The sequence below is a fragment of the Homo sapiens genome, chromosome 4 (assembly GCF_000001405.40).
Source record: "Homo sapiens chromosome 4, GRCh38.p14 Primary Assembly".
Classification (NCBI taxonomy): Eukaryota; Metazoa; Chordata; class Mammalia; order Primates; family Hominidae; genus Homo; species Homo sapiens.
Window position 1 is genome coordinate 1,293,023 of NC_000004.12, and position 15,981 is coordinate 1,309,003.

The 15,981-nt window shown below is 51.8% G+C and overlaps 1 protein-coding gene across 9 annotated transcripts in view, besides 3 other annotated features; it reads left to right on the forward strand.

Annotated features, from left to right (window-relative positions):
• Positions 1 to 15,981, forward strand: part of MAEA (macrophage erythroblast attacher, E3 ubiquitin ligase) — a 50,247-nt gene that overhangs the window by 3,132 nt on the left and 31,134 nt on the right. Inside the window, exon 1 of one of the 9 annotated variants that reach the window (XM_047449493.1) lies at positions 4,952 to 5,093. The exons of the other annotated variants lie outside the window; for them this stretch is intronic. The gene's annotated coding sequence lies outside the window, so the exon portion shown is untranslated. Of the gene's footprint in view, positions 1 to 4,951; positions 5,094 to 15,981 lie in introns of those variants that run through there. 9 annotated transcript variants of the gene reach the window in all.
• Positions 1,796 to 2,759: an enhancer, noted in NCBI's record as "H3K4me1 hESC enhancer chr4:1288606-1289569 (GRCh37/hg19 assembly coordinates)". NCBI's record gives its function as "activates a minimal SCP1, AML or CMV promoter by ChIP-STARR-seq in primed H9 embryonic stem cells {active_cell/tissue: H9 hESC(primed)}" and the evidence as "EXISTENCE:reporter gene assay evidence [ECO:0000049][PMID:30033119]".
• Positions 4,275 to 4,988: an enhancer, noted in NCBI's record as "H3K27ac-H3K4me1 hESC enhancer chr4:1291085-1291798 (GRCh37/hg19 assembly coordinates)". NCBI's record gives its function as "activates a minimal SCP1, AML or CMV promoter by ChIP-STARR-seq in primed H9 embryonic stem cells {active_cell/tissue: H9 hESC(primed)}" and the evidence as "EXISTENCE:reporter gene assay evidence [ECO:0000049][PMID:30033119]".
• Positions 14,996 to 15,893: an enhancer, noted in NCBI's record as "H3K27ac-H3K4me1 hESC enhancer chr4:1301806-1302703 (GRCh37/hg19 assembly coordinates)". NCBI's record gives its function as "activates a minimal SCP1, AML or CMV promoter by ChIP-STARR-seq in naive and primed H9 embryonic stem cells {active_cell/tissue: H9 hESC(naive and primed)}" and the evidence as "EXISTENCE:reporter gene assay evidence [ECO:0000049][PMID:30033119]".

The following is a 15,981-nucleotide window of genomic DNA, read 5'->3' on the forward strand; positions in this document are numbered from 1 at the left end:
AGCTGAGATTACAGGCACCCGCCACCATGCCCAGCTAATTTTTTGTATTTTTTAGTAGAGACGTGGTTTCTCCATGTTGTCCAGCTGGTCTTGAACTCCTGACCTCAGGAATTCACCATCTTTCAATTCAACATGCATAGTTCACCATCTTGAATTGGAAGCCCTTGCTTTCATTATTTTGTAAAAGGTTTTTTTTTTTCTGATTATAAAAGTAATTTGATGAGTTGGGTGCGGTGGTGTGCGCCTGTAGTCCCAGCTAATTGGGAGGCTGAGGCGAGAGGATCACTTGAGCCAGGAGATCCAGGCTGTGGTGAACCGAGATTGCACCACTGCCCTCCAGCCTGGGTGACAGAGTGAGACCCTGTCTCAAATAATAAATAAATAAAAGTAATTTGTTTTTTCTTCAAGTTACCCTGCTGCACAGAGAGAACTTCATTAACATTTTGGTGTATTTACTCCTACTATTTCCCTTCAGATAGCCGAAGAAAAATAATAGTTTAGAGAATTTCACATGGGTGTCTGCACAGCCCAGGGCGGGAAGTGGTGTTCATCACCTGGAGACCCTGGTCTGGACCTGGCTCCTCTCTGTGAACCCCACCTGGGCCCACCTCTCCTCTCCTGGAGCCCCAGCAAGGGTTCCCAGCTCCAGTGAGTCCTCTCACACCCAAGGTGGTGATGCTGTCCTCTCCCCAGAGGACAGGCTGAGAAACACCGGGCTTGTGGTTGCATTCTCAGGTGTCTGAATTCTCTACAGGAAGATTTGCATGTTCTGCCTTTGGTTTGATGACAGTCTGGTTGCCCAGGCATGGCCCTGATGCCTCACAGCCTGGGTCTGTGCCTGTGGTAGGGAGTTCGGGTGCCAGCTGTGTGCTGAAGTTGTAACTGCTCCTGCGCCTTTTGTAGTTTTCTTCACTCCATCTTGGCTGGATTTGGGAGGATCATGTGTTCTCGAGTGTGAGAAACACAGGCAACCACGAAGCGTTTGACTTACTGACACACACATTGGGTTGGACCCTGGTGATGCCGTGTCTGAGGAGTCTTAGGCCGGGTCTCCACCTCTTCTGTGGCCGGCTTTTTCGATGTACTTTATCTGCAGTAACGTCACAGCCCTCCAGAATCCGCCCGGTCTCTAGAGCACAGTGGAAATTCCTTCTGCCCAGAAGAGCCATGGTCTGCCCTTTGTGGCTCCCAGCTCCACTCCCCTCGCCTCTCCCACCGTTTGCTGGTGGTTTGGCCCTGGGCTGGCTTCCGCGGCCTCCGCGCTGGCACAGGTCTTCCCTCCCAGGCCTGGGCCTTTCCAGCTGGTTGGGCAAGGCTGAGATAAGGATGTAGACTTGAATTCACTGCTAGCTGGGGGGTTGGTTTTGTTTTTGTTTTTTTAAGTATTATTTTTTTAACACATTTCAAGTCAAGAAAGTGCTTTTTAATGCCTGATTCACCGTAATGGCTGGGCTAGGTTGGAGGCAGTACTGACGTGAGGCCTGGAGCGGCCCTGGGACCTAAGCAAGGCACCGCCGCCGGGCTGCAGAGCAGGGCTGCAGGTGCACTTAGCTTCTCCCATACCCCCCTCCGCAGCAGTGGTCTGAGAGCCTCCATCGGCCAGGTACGGTCAGGCCCTGCACAGTCAGGCCCTGGGCTAGCATGATGGGGAGACAAGTGAGGCCCCTGTCTACGCTCCGGTGGGAGGGAGGCATCAGCACAAGCACACACAGACATCTCAGATCCTTTAAAGACGCTGATGAGGTTGAGGTGATGTTGGACAGTGGCAGGGGACGGGGGTGGGGCCGGGGGCAGGGGCAGGGGCAGGGGCGGGGGTGGGGATGAGCTTCCTCCAGTGAATGCGATATTGTGAGCTGGTTGGCGGAGCTAAGTTTTGGGGTGAGGCTCTGTGGACCGTGTTGAAGTCCTGGCCGGCTCTCACCCCAGTAGGCACACAGGCACACAGCACCATTGGGGTGATGTGGCTGGGGGTGTCCCAGAGCTGTGCAGGGAGGGTCTCACAGTGAGACTGGGTGCTGGGCAGTGACTCGGTCTGTGGGTACAGGGGTCAGCAGAATGGGAAGCAAGCCCAAGGAGACACATTGGCACCAGAATGAAGACAAGGCCGGCCGGTGCCTGTAGCATGTGACTGCCCCGTCTGCAGAGAGGCTGTGCTGCGAGCCCCACCCTCTGGGGGCTTCAGGCCGAGTGGGGATGTCTGGGTGCTGACCCAGGCATCGCAAAGCACACTTCCTGCCGGGGTAACTGCTGATGATTTTTAGGTCTGTTATTTCAGAATCGTTATAGCTAGGGGCCATTATTTTGAAAACCTGAACAAAAAGAATTATTCACTGTGTTAATACCACATTTAGTGACTGTTGAGCTGAATGTGGCTGAGCAGAAGAAAGCACCTGCTGTGCTGATGGCTGACTGTGGACCCGGACCGGGACCCTGAGTGCTGCCCCACTCGAGGGAGGGGCCCAGAGCAGCCTCCTTCCTCTCCTCCCAGGCGAGCCTTTCATACCTGTCCTTCTCTCAGACTTTCCCTCCTACTTCATGCTCGCCCATGCCTGTCACGCAGACCCTGCCTGACCTGCACCTGCTCCCACACCCGTGGTGGATGAGCCCCATCACCCGTACCTGTACCCCCCTCACCCGCTCCTGTACCCCCTCACCCGCTCCTATACCCCCTCACCCACACCTGTACCCCCCTCACCCGCTCCTGTACCCCCTCACCCGCGCCTGTGCCCCCTCACCCGTGCCTCTGCCCCCCTCACCCGCGCCTGTGCCCCCCTCCCCAGCGCCTGTGCCCCCTCACCCACGCCTGTGCCCTCCTCACCCATGCCGGTGCCCACCACACCTGCGCCTTTGCCCCTTCACCTGTGTCTGCACCGCCCTCACCTGTGCTGCCTTCACCTGCACCCCCTCACCCACACCTGTGCCACCCTCGCCCGCACCTGTGCCCCCCTCACCCACGTCTGCACTGCCCTCACCTGTGCTGCCCTCACCTGTGCCCCCCACCTGTGCCTGTGCCCCCCTCACCTGCTCCTCCCTCACCTGCTCCTCCCTCACCTGCTCCTGCACCACCTTCACGTGCGCCCCCCACCTACATCTGCACCTCACCTATGCTACCCTCACCTGTGCCCCCCCACCCGCACCTGTGCCCCCCTCACCCACGTCTGCACTGCCCTCACCTGTGCTGCCCTCACCTGTGCCCCCCACCTGTGCCTGTGCCCCCCTCACCTGCTCCTCCCTCACCTGCTCCTCCCTCACCTGCTCCTGCACCACCTTCACGTGCGCCCCCCACCTACATCTGCACCTCACCTATGCTACCCTCACCTGTGCCCCCCCACCCGCACCTGTGCCCCCCTCACCTGTGCCTGTGCAGCCGTCACCCATGCCATTCCTCACCTGTACCCCTCACCCATGCCTGTGCCGTTCCTCACCCGTGCCTGTGCCCCCCTCACCCGTGCCTGTGCCTCCCTCACTTGCGCTGTGCCCCCCTCACCTGTGCTGTGCCCTTTGCCTTGTGGCTGCTCCTGCACTTGGTTCTCTCTCTGTTGGTCGGTTTTCCCATTGGCTGTGCAGCTCCCTGGTGTGCACGTGGCTCTGAGTCTTCCTCTCGTGAAAACCCCTTCCTTGCCCCCGTCCTCCTCCAGCTACTACTCCCTGTCTCTGCCCCTTCATGTCTCTCTTCCTGTTTTACCTAAATCAGATTTTTGCCCCCCAACACTCCACCCAGATGTTCCTCTTGAGGACAGGATGATGCTCCTGAAAGCGGTCAGTCCACAGCGGACCCCACTGCCTCGAGACGCTCCCATCACTCGGCTCCCGTGACACCATCCTCTGGGCTCTCCCCACCCCTCGCTGCATGTCCTCACTTGCCTATGCTGTCTTCTCTAGTCTTGGAGGCCTTTTGTTTTATGTCACCAGCCAGCCCTCCAGAGGTTGTGTGGCTTCACAGACGGTCTCCAAGCTCCTGTCCCCACACTGCTGCCCTCCCCAGGCCTCTCTCCCTGAGGCCATCCCGTGTAGTCACCTCCCGGAGCTCTCTTCGCATGTCTGGAAGGCAGTTCAAAGATACGATACCAGGCGCAAAACCAAATGCCGCATCTCGGCCTTGGGGCCCCAGACGAGCCCCAGACCTGCCTTACTAAGCCACCCTTCCCAAGTCAGTTGACAGCGATGTCCCCCGGCACTTGTTCAGTGACAGCCGAGAACTCGGAGGTTTTCTCGATTTCTGTTTCTCACGTTTATCCTTGAGTCCACGATGGCTGCTGGGGCTGCGGCCTTCGCGGCCAGGAGGAGGGTAAGGGGGAATCAGTGCCGCCCTGCGTGGCCAGCTCCCTGCGTGGGGGCCTTAGTGGACATCCTCCCAAGCGTTTACACTTCAGCTCATTCCCCAGAGCACGGGGCTGGCCATTTCTAGCTTTGGAGGAGCCTGAAAAAGTACGTGCGTATGTGTGTGTGTATACATACATATAGAGAGAGAGCACGCGCTTGAGTGTGGGCTCATTGCTGCCCTAAATAAAATTAGGATGTGGTTCCTTTTGCCCTTTGTCCCTTGCCTGCCTGGTTTCCTTTGCAGCACTCGTCACAGTCTGACGCGGTCGCCTGCATCTCTCTGTGCTTTGGTTGGGCGTCTCCTTTAGAGCGTCTGCTCTGCGAGGGCACGGGCCGTCCTTTGTCGTCGTTCACGTCACACCCACGAGTGCCTGGCACAGGAGTCAGTCAATGGCTGTTGGCCGAACCAATTTCTCCCCCGTCTGTCTGGGAAATTCCTAAACTTCGCATCTCACTTTTGTCCACTTGCCGCATTCTAGAGTATGTCTTGGTCTCATGGCCTGTGCTCTCATCTGGCTGTGGTCAGCCTCTTGCGTTTCCTTTCTCCCTTGCCTCCACCCCTCGCGATGTAGCCCCATCCCCTGCCCTTCTCTGCTTCCCATTGTTCTAGAACATTCCAGCATGGAAACCCCGCTGTGCAAGGCCCCTGCACTGGCCACAGAAGCCGCACCTATCTGCTGAGGAACCCGGTTGCTGCCTGGAGTGGGTGTCGAGTACTGCCTGGCAGCATAGCCATGCTTCTTGAGGCATTTTAGCACCCTGTACCCCAGGTACTGTTCCATATGCCCCTCCTTCTCCATGAGCCCCCCATGCCTGCCCCGTCCTTGTGCTCTGCCCGCGGCTTGGCCCTGTCTGTCGCCTGCCTGCTTGTGCTCACTGTTTCCTTTCTTTTACTGGAGATATGTCATTTGTGCCCCGCCCAAGGCCAGCCTTTGTTCATGCACCAGACCCCCTGCCCCATCCCTGTGACCTGAAGAGGCATGTGCCGTCTTCTGGTTATCCACGAAGAGGCACACGCGCCGTCTTCTGGTTATCCACGAAGAGGCACACGCGCCGTCTTCTGGTTATCCACGAAGAGGCACACGCGCCGTCTTCTGGTTAACTGTGTGCGGGACCCACAGGTCCCCTCTGTCTGAGCCAGCCCTGCCTTGGGGTCTCTGGAATTGCTTCTCATCTGGTTTTACCCCCATCACAGTGCTATAGTCAGGGCACCAGGTAACCCCAAGACACTGCTGAGACCCATGATGGATTCTTGCTGCCCATCTCGACCTCTCACAGGGCTGGAACACAGCTCACCCCCTCGGGCTCCTAGAGCGCCATCCTCGCGTTTCCCCCCGGGCTCAGTCCTTGGCCCTGGGTGTTGCTGTGAGCACCGCTGCCTTGGTGCTCTCACAGGGTCTAGTGGACTGATAGGACCCTCTGTGTATACTGATGACTCCCAGGCAGGTATCTTCCCAACCCCAGAGCCCTGTATCCAGTAGCCTGTAAAACATACCCACTTGGCAAGGCACTTTGGCATTAAAATTATTATTATTAAAATTATTATTATTTTTAGAGATGGGATCTCACTCTGGCACCCAGGCGGGAGTGCAGTGGCATGATCACAGCTCACTTCAGCCTTGACCTCCTGGGCTCAGGTGATCTTCCTGCCTCAGCCTCCCGGGTAACTGGGACCACGGGCGCCTGCTTCCGTGTCTGGCTAATTTTTTTATTTGTAGAGATAGGTTCTAGCTCCGTTGTCTAGGCTGGTCTCCATCTCTTGGGCTCAAGCATTCCTCCCTCCTGGGCGTCCAAAAGTGTTGGAATAACAGGTGTGAGCCACCATGCCCAGCTCCTTGGCATATTTAGATCTGAGCTTATCATCTTAACACCTGCTGCCCAAACCAATTCTACCAGTCTCCCTTCTCTTCGGGAAGGGCAGCCCCTCCATCTCCCTTGGTCAGGCCAGAACCTTCAGGTTGGCCTTGATGCCTCTGTTGTCACAGCTCATGCCCAGCCCGTCTGCCCCTCCACCCTGGCGTCAGGACATGCCCAGGCCCAGCTGCTGCTGCTCTTCCCACCTCTGCCCCTGCGGCTCAAGTCGCATCTCTCTCTGGAATATTGAATAGCCTTCTGGCTGCTCCTGCTCTGCTCATGCCCACCCCGGCTGCCCCAGCGCCAGATCCTGTCGTCTTTTTGTTCTAGGAGTTTCCTGACCTGGGGATGAAGGCCAGGGTCGTTACAGTGGCTCCCAGGCCCTTTGCCCTGTAGGGTGCTGGGCCCAGTGGCCTTTCTGCCGCCATTCAGCCAGGCCAGCATGCCGAGCCCAGGGTTTTACTGCCACCTTCCTCTGTCTGGAGCGCTCCTTCCACAGATGTCCATGGTCCCATGTCCTCACCTTCAATCTTTGCCAACGTCCGTGGTCCCATGTCCTCACCTCCTTCAATCTTCGCTGAGCTGTCAGCTTGTGAAGCTTCTCTGACTCCACTGTTGAAACTGCAGCCCCAGCATCTCCCACTTCTGCCCTTTTCCCTCGTGAGTCGTGACCGCTGTCTCACATAACGGTATTTTGCTTGTTTCTGACCACTGGGATTATAAGCTCTTTTGAAGGATAGAGAAGAAATAAATTCTCCAATTAACAAATGAACAAAATAATATTAAATATTATTTTGGCAATTCTGTCTAAAGCAGTAAGAATTGAAATAGAAGTAAATGTAACCATTGAGAAAGTCAGCACAATAACGGGGCATACAGTAAGTGCACGAAACCCAGTCGCCACCCTCTATATCACCGCCAGCCAGTTAGAACACATCCCATTCACCATAACCCAAAGCAGCAGAGACAGACGATCCAACAGCATCCTTAGCAGGCAGCCTGACTGCCACGGAGCTGTTTCAGGAAAGGCCCGAAGGAAGATTGGCACTAGCAGAGGATGCCGTGTTTCTGCATGAAAACCGTAATGATATCATATTGTTCTTTTTGTGTTTGATAAATATTTCTTATTTATAATGAAAGGGACACCAAGAAGGGCTGGGCCTTGCCAGACACCACAGCCAGGTATGTAACTGCCAAAGTTGTGACCTTGTGGCAGAACAGCTGGCTCCCTTTGAAATACTTTATGGAAAGGTGAGAGAGGAAGCTCTGCTGATGTTGTGATTATGAACTGACACTCCTGCCCGCTTGCAGTCTCTGTTGTTTGGTCAGGGAGTGACCTGGGGATGAGGGCACTGGACCGCGTGGGGCACGGCCCCGGCTCTTCCGTGCTGCCGGCTTCCGAGGCTGGGGCTGCGTGGCGTGCGTGTGTGCCGCTGCCGCAGGTCGCATACCCTTTCCAAGACGGACCAGTGGCTTTAAAAGGTTCCTGCAAGGAAGTGGCTGGCTAAGGCTGGGCCTAACTGGGCGTGCACACAACAGGGAGCGCAGAGCTCAGGGCCGACAGCACTCTTGCCACTGCGAGCTTTGTAGGGCGCAACATCAATCTGGTTACATCCCCTCAGAAGTTGACTGGAAGTGTCATTTTTTCAAGAAGCCTCTTAGGGGATTCGAAGCGTTTTTCCTTGGTGAGCCTCCCTCAGGGTATGTGCTGTGCTTGGGGAGATTAGCTCAGGATGGCAGGAAGCCACCGTGATTACATGCCCCGCACCAGAACATGAGACTGGCCCCTCCAGGACGGAGAGGGATGTAAACTGCCACCCAGGGCTTAATCCAGCACTTCTGGCCCTGTGATGAGCTTCGTGATCAATATTTAGAAACCTCTTCTGGTTAATTGCAAAAGACAAAGAGCCTCATGCATTGGGGAAATTCTTCCTTCCCGTGCTGGTGAAAACATGATGATGACACACTGAAATGCGTTGCGTTTTGTCAGCAAATTCTGTCAGAAGCACGGCAAACGCTGGAGAAGGTTTGAGGAAGCGCATCCTGAAGCTGATGGCACCGTGTGGGGGCAGCGGGCGGGCAGGTGCAGACGTTTCACGCATGTCTCCACTCACACTGCTTGCCACATTCTGTTTCAGTGACGAAATCAGGGAGGATTACTGCTGTGAGTCACCAAAGGGGAAGATGTACTGGAGGAGATGTAATTTAACATTCGCTAAGTAGAGAAATCCCGTGAACATAAAAAGCTGTAATGCAACAAATTACTTAGGAAAAATTGGGGAGATGTGATAAATAAAAGTTTAATTCTTTGGTATAACCAGAAAAGATAGAACCAGAATTTAAAAGCAAATACCAAGCCAGGCACAGCGGCTCATGCCTGTAATCCCAGCACTTTGGGAGGCTGAGGCAGGAGTATCACTTGAGCCAGGAGCTCAAGGCTGCAGTGAGCCATGATTGTGTCCCTGCACTCCAGCCTGAGCAGCAGAGTGACGCCCTATATGAATGAATGAATAAGTAAGTGAATAAGTAAAAATAAATAAGCACTGGACAAGGGACACAGACAAAATGTGTAGAAGGAAAAAAGTGTTAGGTTGAATCATATACAGTTGTTATTTTTGTAAGTTAAAAGTGATGACCGAATAGACCTATAACAGGTGAAGTTACTACAAAAAACCTCACAAAGAAAAGCCTGAGACCAGATGGTTTCACTGATGAATTCTGTTAAACATTTAAAGAAGGATTTATACCAACTCTTCTAAAAACAGTTAAGGAGGGATTACATCCCACCTCCTTCTATGAGGCCAGTATAACTTTGATATAACCTTGAACCAGACAAAGACATCACAAGAAAACCATAGACCATTGTTCCAGATGAGAGAAAATAGATGCCAAAATATTCAACAAAATCTTAGAAAACTAAGAAAATCTAAGAAAACAAAATATAGAAAGGATTATGTGTCAGGACTAAGTAGGATTTCCCCCAGAAATGCAAAGTTGGTTCAACGTGTGAAAATCAATGTCGTGTATCATATTAATAGAATGAAGGACAACAACCACATAATCATCTCAATAGATGCAACAAAAGTACTTTACACTGTGAGAAATCAGTGTTTGCTGTTTAAGTTGCCCAGTCTGTGATATTTTTGTTACAGCAGCCTGAGCTGACTAAGACAGCTGCTCAGAACAGGGAGAAAATGTTTGCCAGTCATATATCTGTTAAGGGTTTAGTATTCAGAATAGGTTAGGAACTCTTCTAGTTCATTAATACAAAGGCAAAAGAAAACTTGTTTTTTTGAGTTGGATTCTCACTCTGTCACCAGGCTGGAGTGCAGTACAGTGGCGCCATCTCGGCTCACTGCAAGCTCCGCTTCCCGGGTTCACGCCATTCTTTTGCTTCAGCCTCCCAAGTAGCTGGGACTACAGGCACCTGCCACCATGCCCGGCTAATTTTTTTGTATTTTTAGTAGAGACGGGGTTTCACTGTGTTAGCCAGGTTGGTCTCGATCTCCTGACCTCGTGATCCGCCCGCCTCAGCCTCCCAAAGTGCTGGGATTATAGGCGTGAGCCACCGCGCCCAGCCAAGAAAACATTTTTTAAATGAGCACACAATTTTAGCAAACTTCTGCAAAGATATACAAATGGCCACTAAGCACATCATTAATCCTTAGGGAAATACAAACCAAAACCACAGTGAGGTGCTGCTTCCTACCCCACCAGAAGGGCTGTAGCAAAAACAATGGCGAGTTGTTGGGTGTGAATGTGGGGAATTGAAATCCTCATACGCAGCCACCTCGGAAAACAACCTGGCCGTTCTTCAGGTGACACACGGAGTTACCATAGGACCTGGCAGCTCCCCTCCTCAGCTTATCCCCAAGACCAGTAGAAACTCTTAAGAATGTCATCCTCGGGCCGGGTGTGGTGGCTCATGCCTGTAATCCCAGCACTTTGGGAGGCTGGGGCGGGTGGATCATGAGCTCAGGAGATTGAGACCGTCCTGGCCAACATGGTGAAACCCCGTCTCTACTAAAAATACAAAAAAAAAAAAAAAAAAAAAAAGCCGGTCATGGTGGCGTGCACCTGTAGTCCCAGCTACTTGGGAGGCTGAGGCAGGAGGATCACTTAAACCGGGGAGGCAGAGGTTACAGTGAGCTGAGATCGCACTACTGCACTCCAGCCTGGGCGACAGTGAGACTCTGTCTCAAAAAAAAAAAAGAATGTCATGTCCTTCTCGATAGCAGCCAAAGGTCCATCAGTTGTGAATTCCTAAACAAATAGGTATACGAATACCACGGAAGACCATTCAGCCATGAAGAGGAGTGGAGCGTCGCTGTATGCCACATCACAGGTGAACCTGGTAAACATGCTAAGTGAGAAAAGCCAGATACAAAAGTCCACATCACGTGTGATTCCATTTATATGGAATTGGTTGGTGGTTGATTGCCTGGGTCTGAGGGGACTACAGCGGGTTCCTTTTTTGGAGTGATGAAAATCTAGAAGTAGAGTGGTTTGTACAACCTTGTGCTTATTCTAAAAACTACTAAATTGTACATATTAAAGGGGTGAATTTTACGGCCTGTGAATTGTATCAGTAAAAATTGGTAAAATTAAAAATGACATTGGGATTTTTTGTATGATTCAGCTTAATAGACAACTGAAGAGCATGCTTGCACAGTGCCGGCAGGGCAGGGGGGTCCGGCAGGGCAGGGTGGGGGTCGGGCAGGGCAGGGGGGTCCGGCAGGGCAGGGTGGGGGTCGGGCAGGGCAGGGGGCGTCCGTGGTGTGTAGCTCTGCACACAGGAGTCGGGAGTTTTTAGTCCAGGTCCATAGAAGTAGAATACCTGGGTTGAAGGGTGAGGCCCAGGTTCTGTAGCTCCCGTCAAACCCCACGCACCCTCCTCCCCCTGTCAGTCGTGTGGCTCCAGTTTCCTTCACCTCACCAGTGTGTTTTCTGTGAGCCGCATGTGGCTGTTGAGCACTTGAGATGTTGCTGGTCCAAATCGTCGTGTGCTGTCAATGTAAAGTATGCCCTAGCTTTCAAAGGTTTAGTACAAAGAGGGTAAAGAATGTAAAATATCTAATGATTATTTATTGTTTGTTTATTTTGTATTTTTTTTTGTAGAGACGGGGGTGTCTCTATGTTGCCCAGGCTGGTCTCCAACTCCTGGCCTCAAGCAGTCCTCCCACCTTAGCCTCCCAAAGCACGGGGATTCCAGATAGGAGTCACCATGCTTGGCCCTGAAAATTACTTATTTATTTATTTGAGACGGAGTCTCGCACTGTCGCCCAGGCTGGAGTGCAGTGGCGTGGTCTCTGCTCACTGCAAGCTCCGCCTCTTGGGTTTACACCATTCTCCTGCCTCAGCCTCCCGAGTAGTTGGGACTACAGGCACCCGCCACCACGCCTGGCTAATTTTTTTGTATTTTTAGTACAGACGGGGGCATCGTGTTGGCCAGGATGGTCTCCATCTCCTGACCTCATGATCCACCCACCTCGGCCTCCCAAAGTGCTGGGATTACAGGCATGAACCACCACGCCCGGCCCCTGGTAATTTATGTTAAGTGTTTAAATGAACATATTCGGGATAAATTGGGTTAAATAAAATATATTAAAACACATTTCATGTGTTTCTTTGTACTATGGCTACTAGAAAATTTGAAACTCTACAAATGTGTCTCACGCTATACTCTATTGAATTTGAAACTATACAAATGTGTCTCACGCTATACTCTACTGAATGGTACTGCTTTGTGGCTTTATCCTTTTTTTATCTGCTTCGGTTTCTCAGAGATGTTTTAAAAACAAAAAAGTTGTACTGATGTTTCTGTCTTTCCATAGCCATCCAGATTTATGATGATTATTAATACCGTGGACTTCTCTTCACCATCTTATTTTGCTTTCTATTTCCCATGCTTTTGTCTTCATTTTTTCATTTTTTTTTTGGTGGATCGTTAAGGTTTTCTTTGTTCCAGTTAATTTCCTCTTGCGGTTTGCCCAGTTCACAGCCATGCTCCACTTGTGGCAAATCAAAAAGGTCTCCACACATTGCCAGGTGTCCCCTGGGGAGCAAGTGGTCCCTGTGGAAAGCCGCTGCACTAGGTGAGCCCGGCCCTGGTGAGGGTGCCTTGTGAGTGGAGCCTGCTTGTGCTGCTGTGCCCCGCTGCTTCCAGGCGGCGCGGCCCTCCGTCTGATTGCTGGAGGACTCTTCGGTGTGGACACACCGTGGTTTGTTTACCCATCCTGGTCAATGGACAATTGGAACTGTGGTGAACAAGCATTCCTGCACCTGTATGTGGATATTGTATGTCCATTTTTCTTGGGAGTGGAATGGCTGAGTCATCTGGTAGGTGTCTTTACCTTTTAAAGAACTAAGCGCTTTTTCCAGAAGGATCATCAGAACTGCTGCCAGCAAGAGTCCAGGTATCCCGGCTCCACCAGCATGTGGTGGCGGCCTCTTGACTTGGAACTGTTCTTCTGGGTGCCGGGGTTCTCCAGAGAAACAGAGCCAGTGGCACCCACATGTGTGTGTGCGCACGCGTGTGTGGGAGTGTGCGTGCGTGCACGTGCGCACGCGTGCGTGTAAGGAGCTGTGTCACAAAGAATTGGCTGGTGCAGTTATCAAAGCTAAGTCCCGAGCCGGAGACCCAGGAGAGCTGAAATGTAGTTCCAGTCTCAGTCTCAAGGCCTGAGAACCAAGAGGGCTGACAGTAGCAGTTTTAACCCGGAAGCTGTCGGGCGGGCGGGAGATCCAAGAAGAGCCAGGGTTTTAGTCCAAGTGCAAAGGCCAGAAAAGACCATGCCCCGCCCACAGGAGGAATTCCTTCTTACCCAGCCTTGCCTTTCCCTTCAGGTCCTCAGCAGATTGGGCAGGGCCCCTCCCCAACGGGGAAGGCTGTGGGCTTTCCTCAGTTTACCCATTCAGATATTAATCCCATCCCAGAATGCTCTCACAGTCACACCCAGAATAATACTTGGCCAAATGTTTGTTGGGGAACCTGGCAGCGTCAAATGGACCCATAAAATTCACCATCGCGCTTTCCGCTGTGGTCTAATTTGCATTTCCCTGATGACTCATGATGTTGCACGTCTTCCTGGAGATTACCTGCCCTTCATAGAACTTCTCTGTGATGTTCCTGTTCAAACCTTTTCCCCATTAAAAAAATGGGATTGCTAACCGGGCGAGGTGGCAGGCACCTGTAGTCCTAGCTACTCAGGAGGCTGAGGCAGGACAATCACTTGATCCCGGGAGGCGGAGGTTGCAGTGAGCCGAGATCACGCTATTGCACTCCAGCCTGGGTGATGGAGTGAGACTGTGTCTCAAGAAAAAAGAAAAGAAAAGTGGGTTGGGGGGCTTGCTTGTCGTAATACTGAGGCTGCAGGAGTTGGCTGTATTCCAGATGGAAGCCCTTTGTCAGCTGTGCTGTGAAGGCCTTCTCCCAGTCCATGGCTCGTGTTCTTAACTTTCTTACATTGTTTTCTGAAGAGCAGAAGTTTTAATTTTGATAAGGTTCAGAGGATGGATTTTTCTTTTACAGTTGGTACATTTTGTATCCTTCTAAGAAATTGTTGCCTGTCTCAAGGATGCAAAGATTTTCTCCCTTGTTTCCTTCTAAGGAGTTTCACAGTTTGAGCTTTTGTGTTTAGGTCCGTGATCCATTCGGAGGCACTTTTCATGGGATGTGAGGTTTGGGTTGAGGGCCATCCCTTCCCTGTCCTGGCTGTTGCAGAGACTGTCCTTCGCCTCAGTTGCCTTGGCCCCTTGGCTGTATGTAAATGGACCCTGCCTGTGGGTCTTTTTCTGGGTTCCCCACCCTGTATTGACCCCTGCATCCATTCCTAGACCAGTGCTGTACTGGCTTCAGCACTCTAGCTTTATGAGAAGTCTGGCAGTCAGGTGCCATTTATCAAAATTCATTAGAATTTTTGTTAACATTTTTTAATTTAAAAAGATACTGTTATATATGTATACAATTTGCCATCAACCATTTTATACAGCAACCACTTTATCCATTTATAGCGTAGACACCGTTCCGTAAGCACACAGTACAGTCATACCATCTATATCACCATGACCCTCTCATCTTGCAAACCGGAAACTCCATAGCCATTGAACAAAACTGCCTCCTCCCCACCCCAGCCCCTGGGATCCACCATTCTGCTTTATGTGTCTAAGAGTTGGACTGTGTGAGATACCTCATACAAGCAGAGTTAGCAGATTTGTCTTTTCATGGTTGACTTATTTCACTTAGCATAATGTCTTCAAGGTTCACCCATGTTACAGTGAGTGAGAGGATTGCCTTCTTTTAAAAGGCTGAATACTGTTCCACTGTGTATTGTGTTACTTGTCCCCAGGGGGACGGAACTCATAATATATAGAGGTAGATGAGGGGATTTATTGGGGAACTGGCTTGTGTGATTACAGAGGCTGAGTCCCGCAGCAGACCTGCACCCCAGAGACCCTGGGAAGCTGGTGCGTGGCTCAGTCCAAAGCCAAAGGCCTGAGAACCCTGGGGGGATGCTGGTGTAAGTCCCAACATCCAAAGGCCAGAGACCCTGGAGTTCTGATGCCAAAGGGCAGGATCCCAGCTCCAGGAGGGACAGGAAATTGCTTATCCTCTGACTTTCTTGTTCTGTCTGGGCCCCAGCGGACTGGATGGCACCACCTACCTGGAGGACATCTTCCCACTCACCCACCAGTCTCCTCTGGAAACACCCGCACAGGCACACCCAGAAGTAATGCTTCACAGGTTCTCTAGGTATCCCAAATCCCATCAAGTTGATGCCTGAAATGAACCATTACCTGTGCAGATACGGTCATGTGTCACTTACATGGAAAAACTCTCAGAAATGCATCGTTAGGCGACTTTGCGGTGTGAACATCGTGGAATGAACTAACAGGAGCCAGATGGTGTGGCTGCTGCACGCCCGCACCGTGGTACAGCCTGTGGCTCCTGGGCTGCAAACCTGTACAGCATGTCACTGCACTGAATACTGCAGGCAGCTGTTCCACGGTGGTGTTTTGCATGGAACACATCGAAACATAGAAAAGGTGCAGTGAGAATGCAGTATCCTAATCTTAATGGGACCACTATCACCTGCACGGTCTGTTGTTGACCAAAATGTCGTTATGTGGTGTGTGACTGCCACGTTTTCTTTCTTCATTCCCCTGGTGATGGACATGTGGGTGGCTTCTGCCTCGTGGCTGCCATGAACACAGGTGTGCAGATACCTCCTGGGACCCTGCCTTCAGTTCTCGTGGCCTACTGGGGACTCAGGAGCCTTGTGCCTAACGTTCTGAGGAATTGCCTCGCTGCTCTACACGCTGCGCCGGGCACGTTCCCTGGCACTGCACGCGTGTCCCGCTGCTCCGCTTCCTGCCGTGGCATAGCTTTCGGTGTTGAGTGATCGCCGTCCTAACGGGCACGAGGTGATGCCTCACGTCTGCACTTGTGTCTCCTGAGCAGTGGTTGGTCGTGTGGAGCATCTTGTCATGTGCCGCTTGGCCATTGGTTTATCTTCTCTGTACAAGTGTCTAAGTCCTTCACCCATTTTAAAATTGGATATTTCCTTTGGTTGTGGAGTTGTAGGCGTTTTTAAAAGTGCATTCTGGATAGTAGCTCCATATGCAGATCCCTGGGTTGCAGCTATTTTTTCCCATTTTTTACTCTGTTGGTTTTTCCTGCTCTGCAGTTTTTAAGTTTGATGTAGTCCCATTTGTCTCTTTCTGTTGCCTGTGCTATTAGGAATCTATTTTTAATGCTTTGCCCCTTTTCACTGTTCTTCCTATGATACGGTCTGTGAGGTTGCC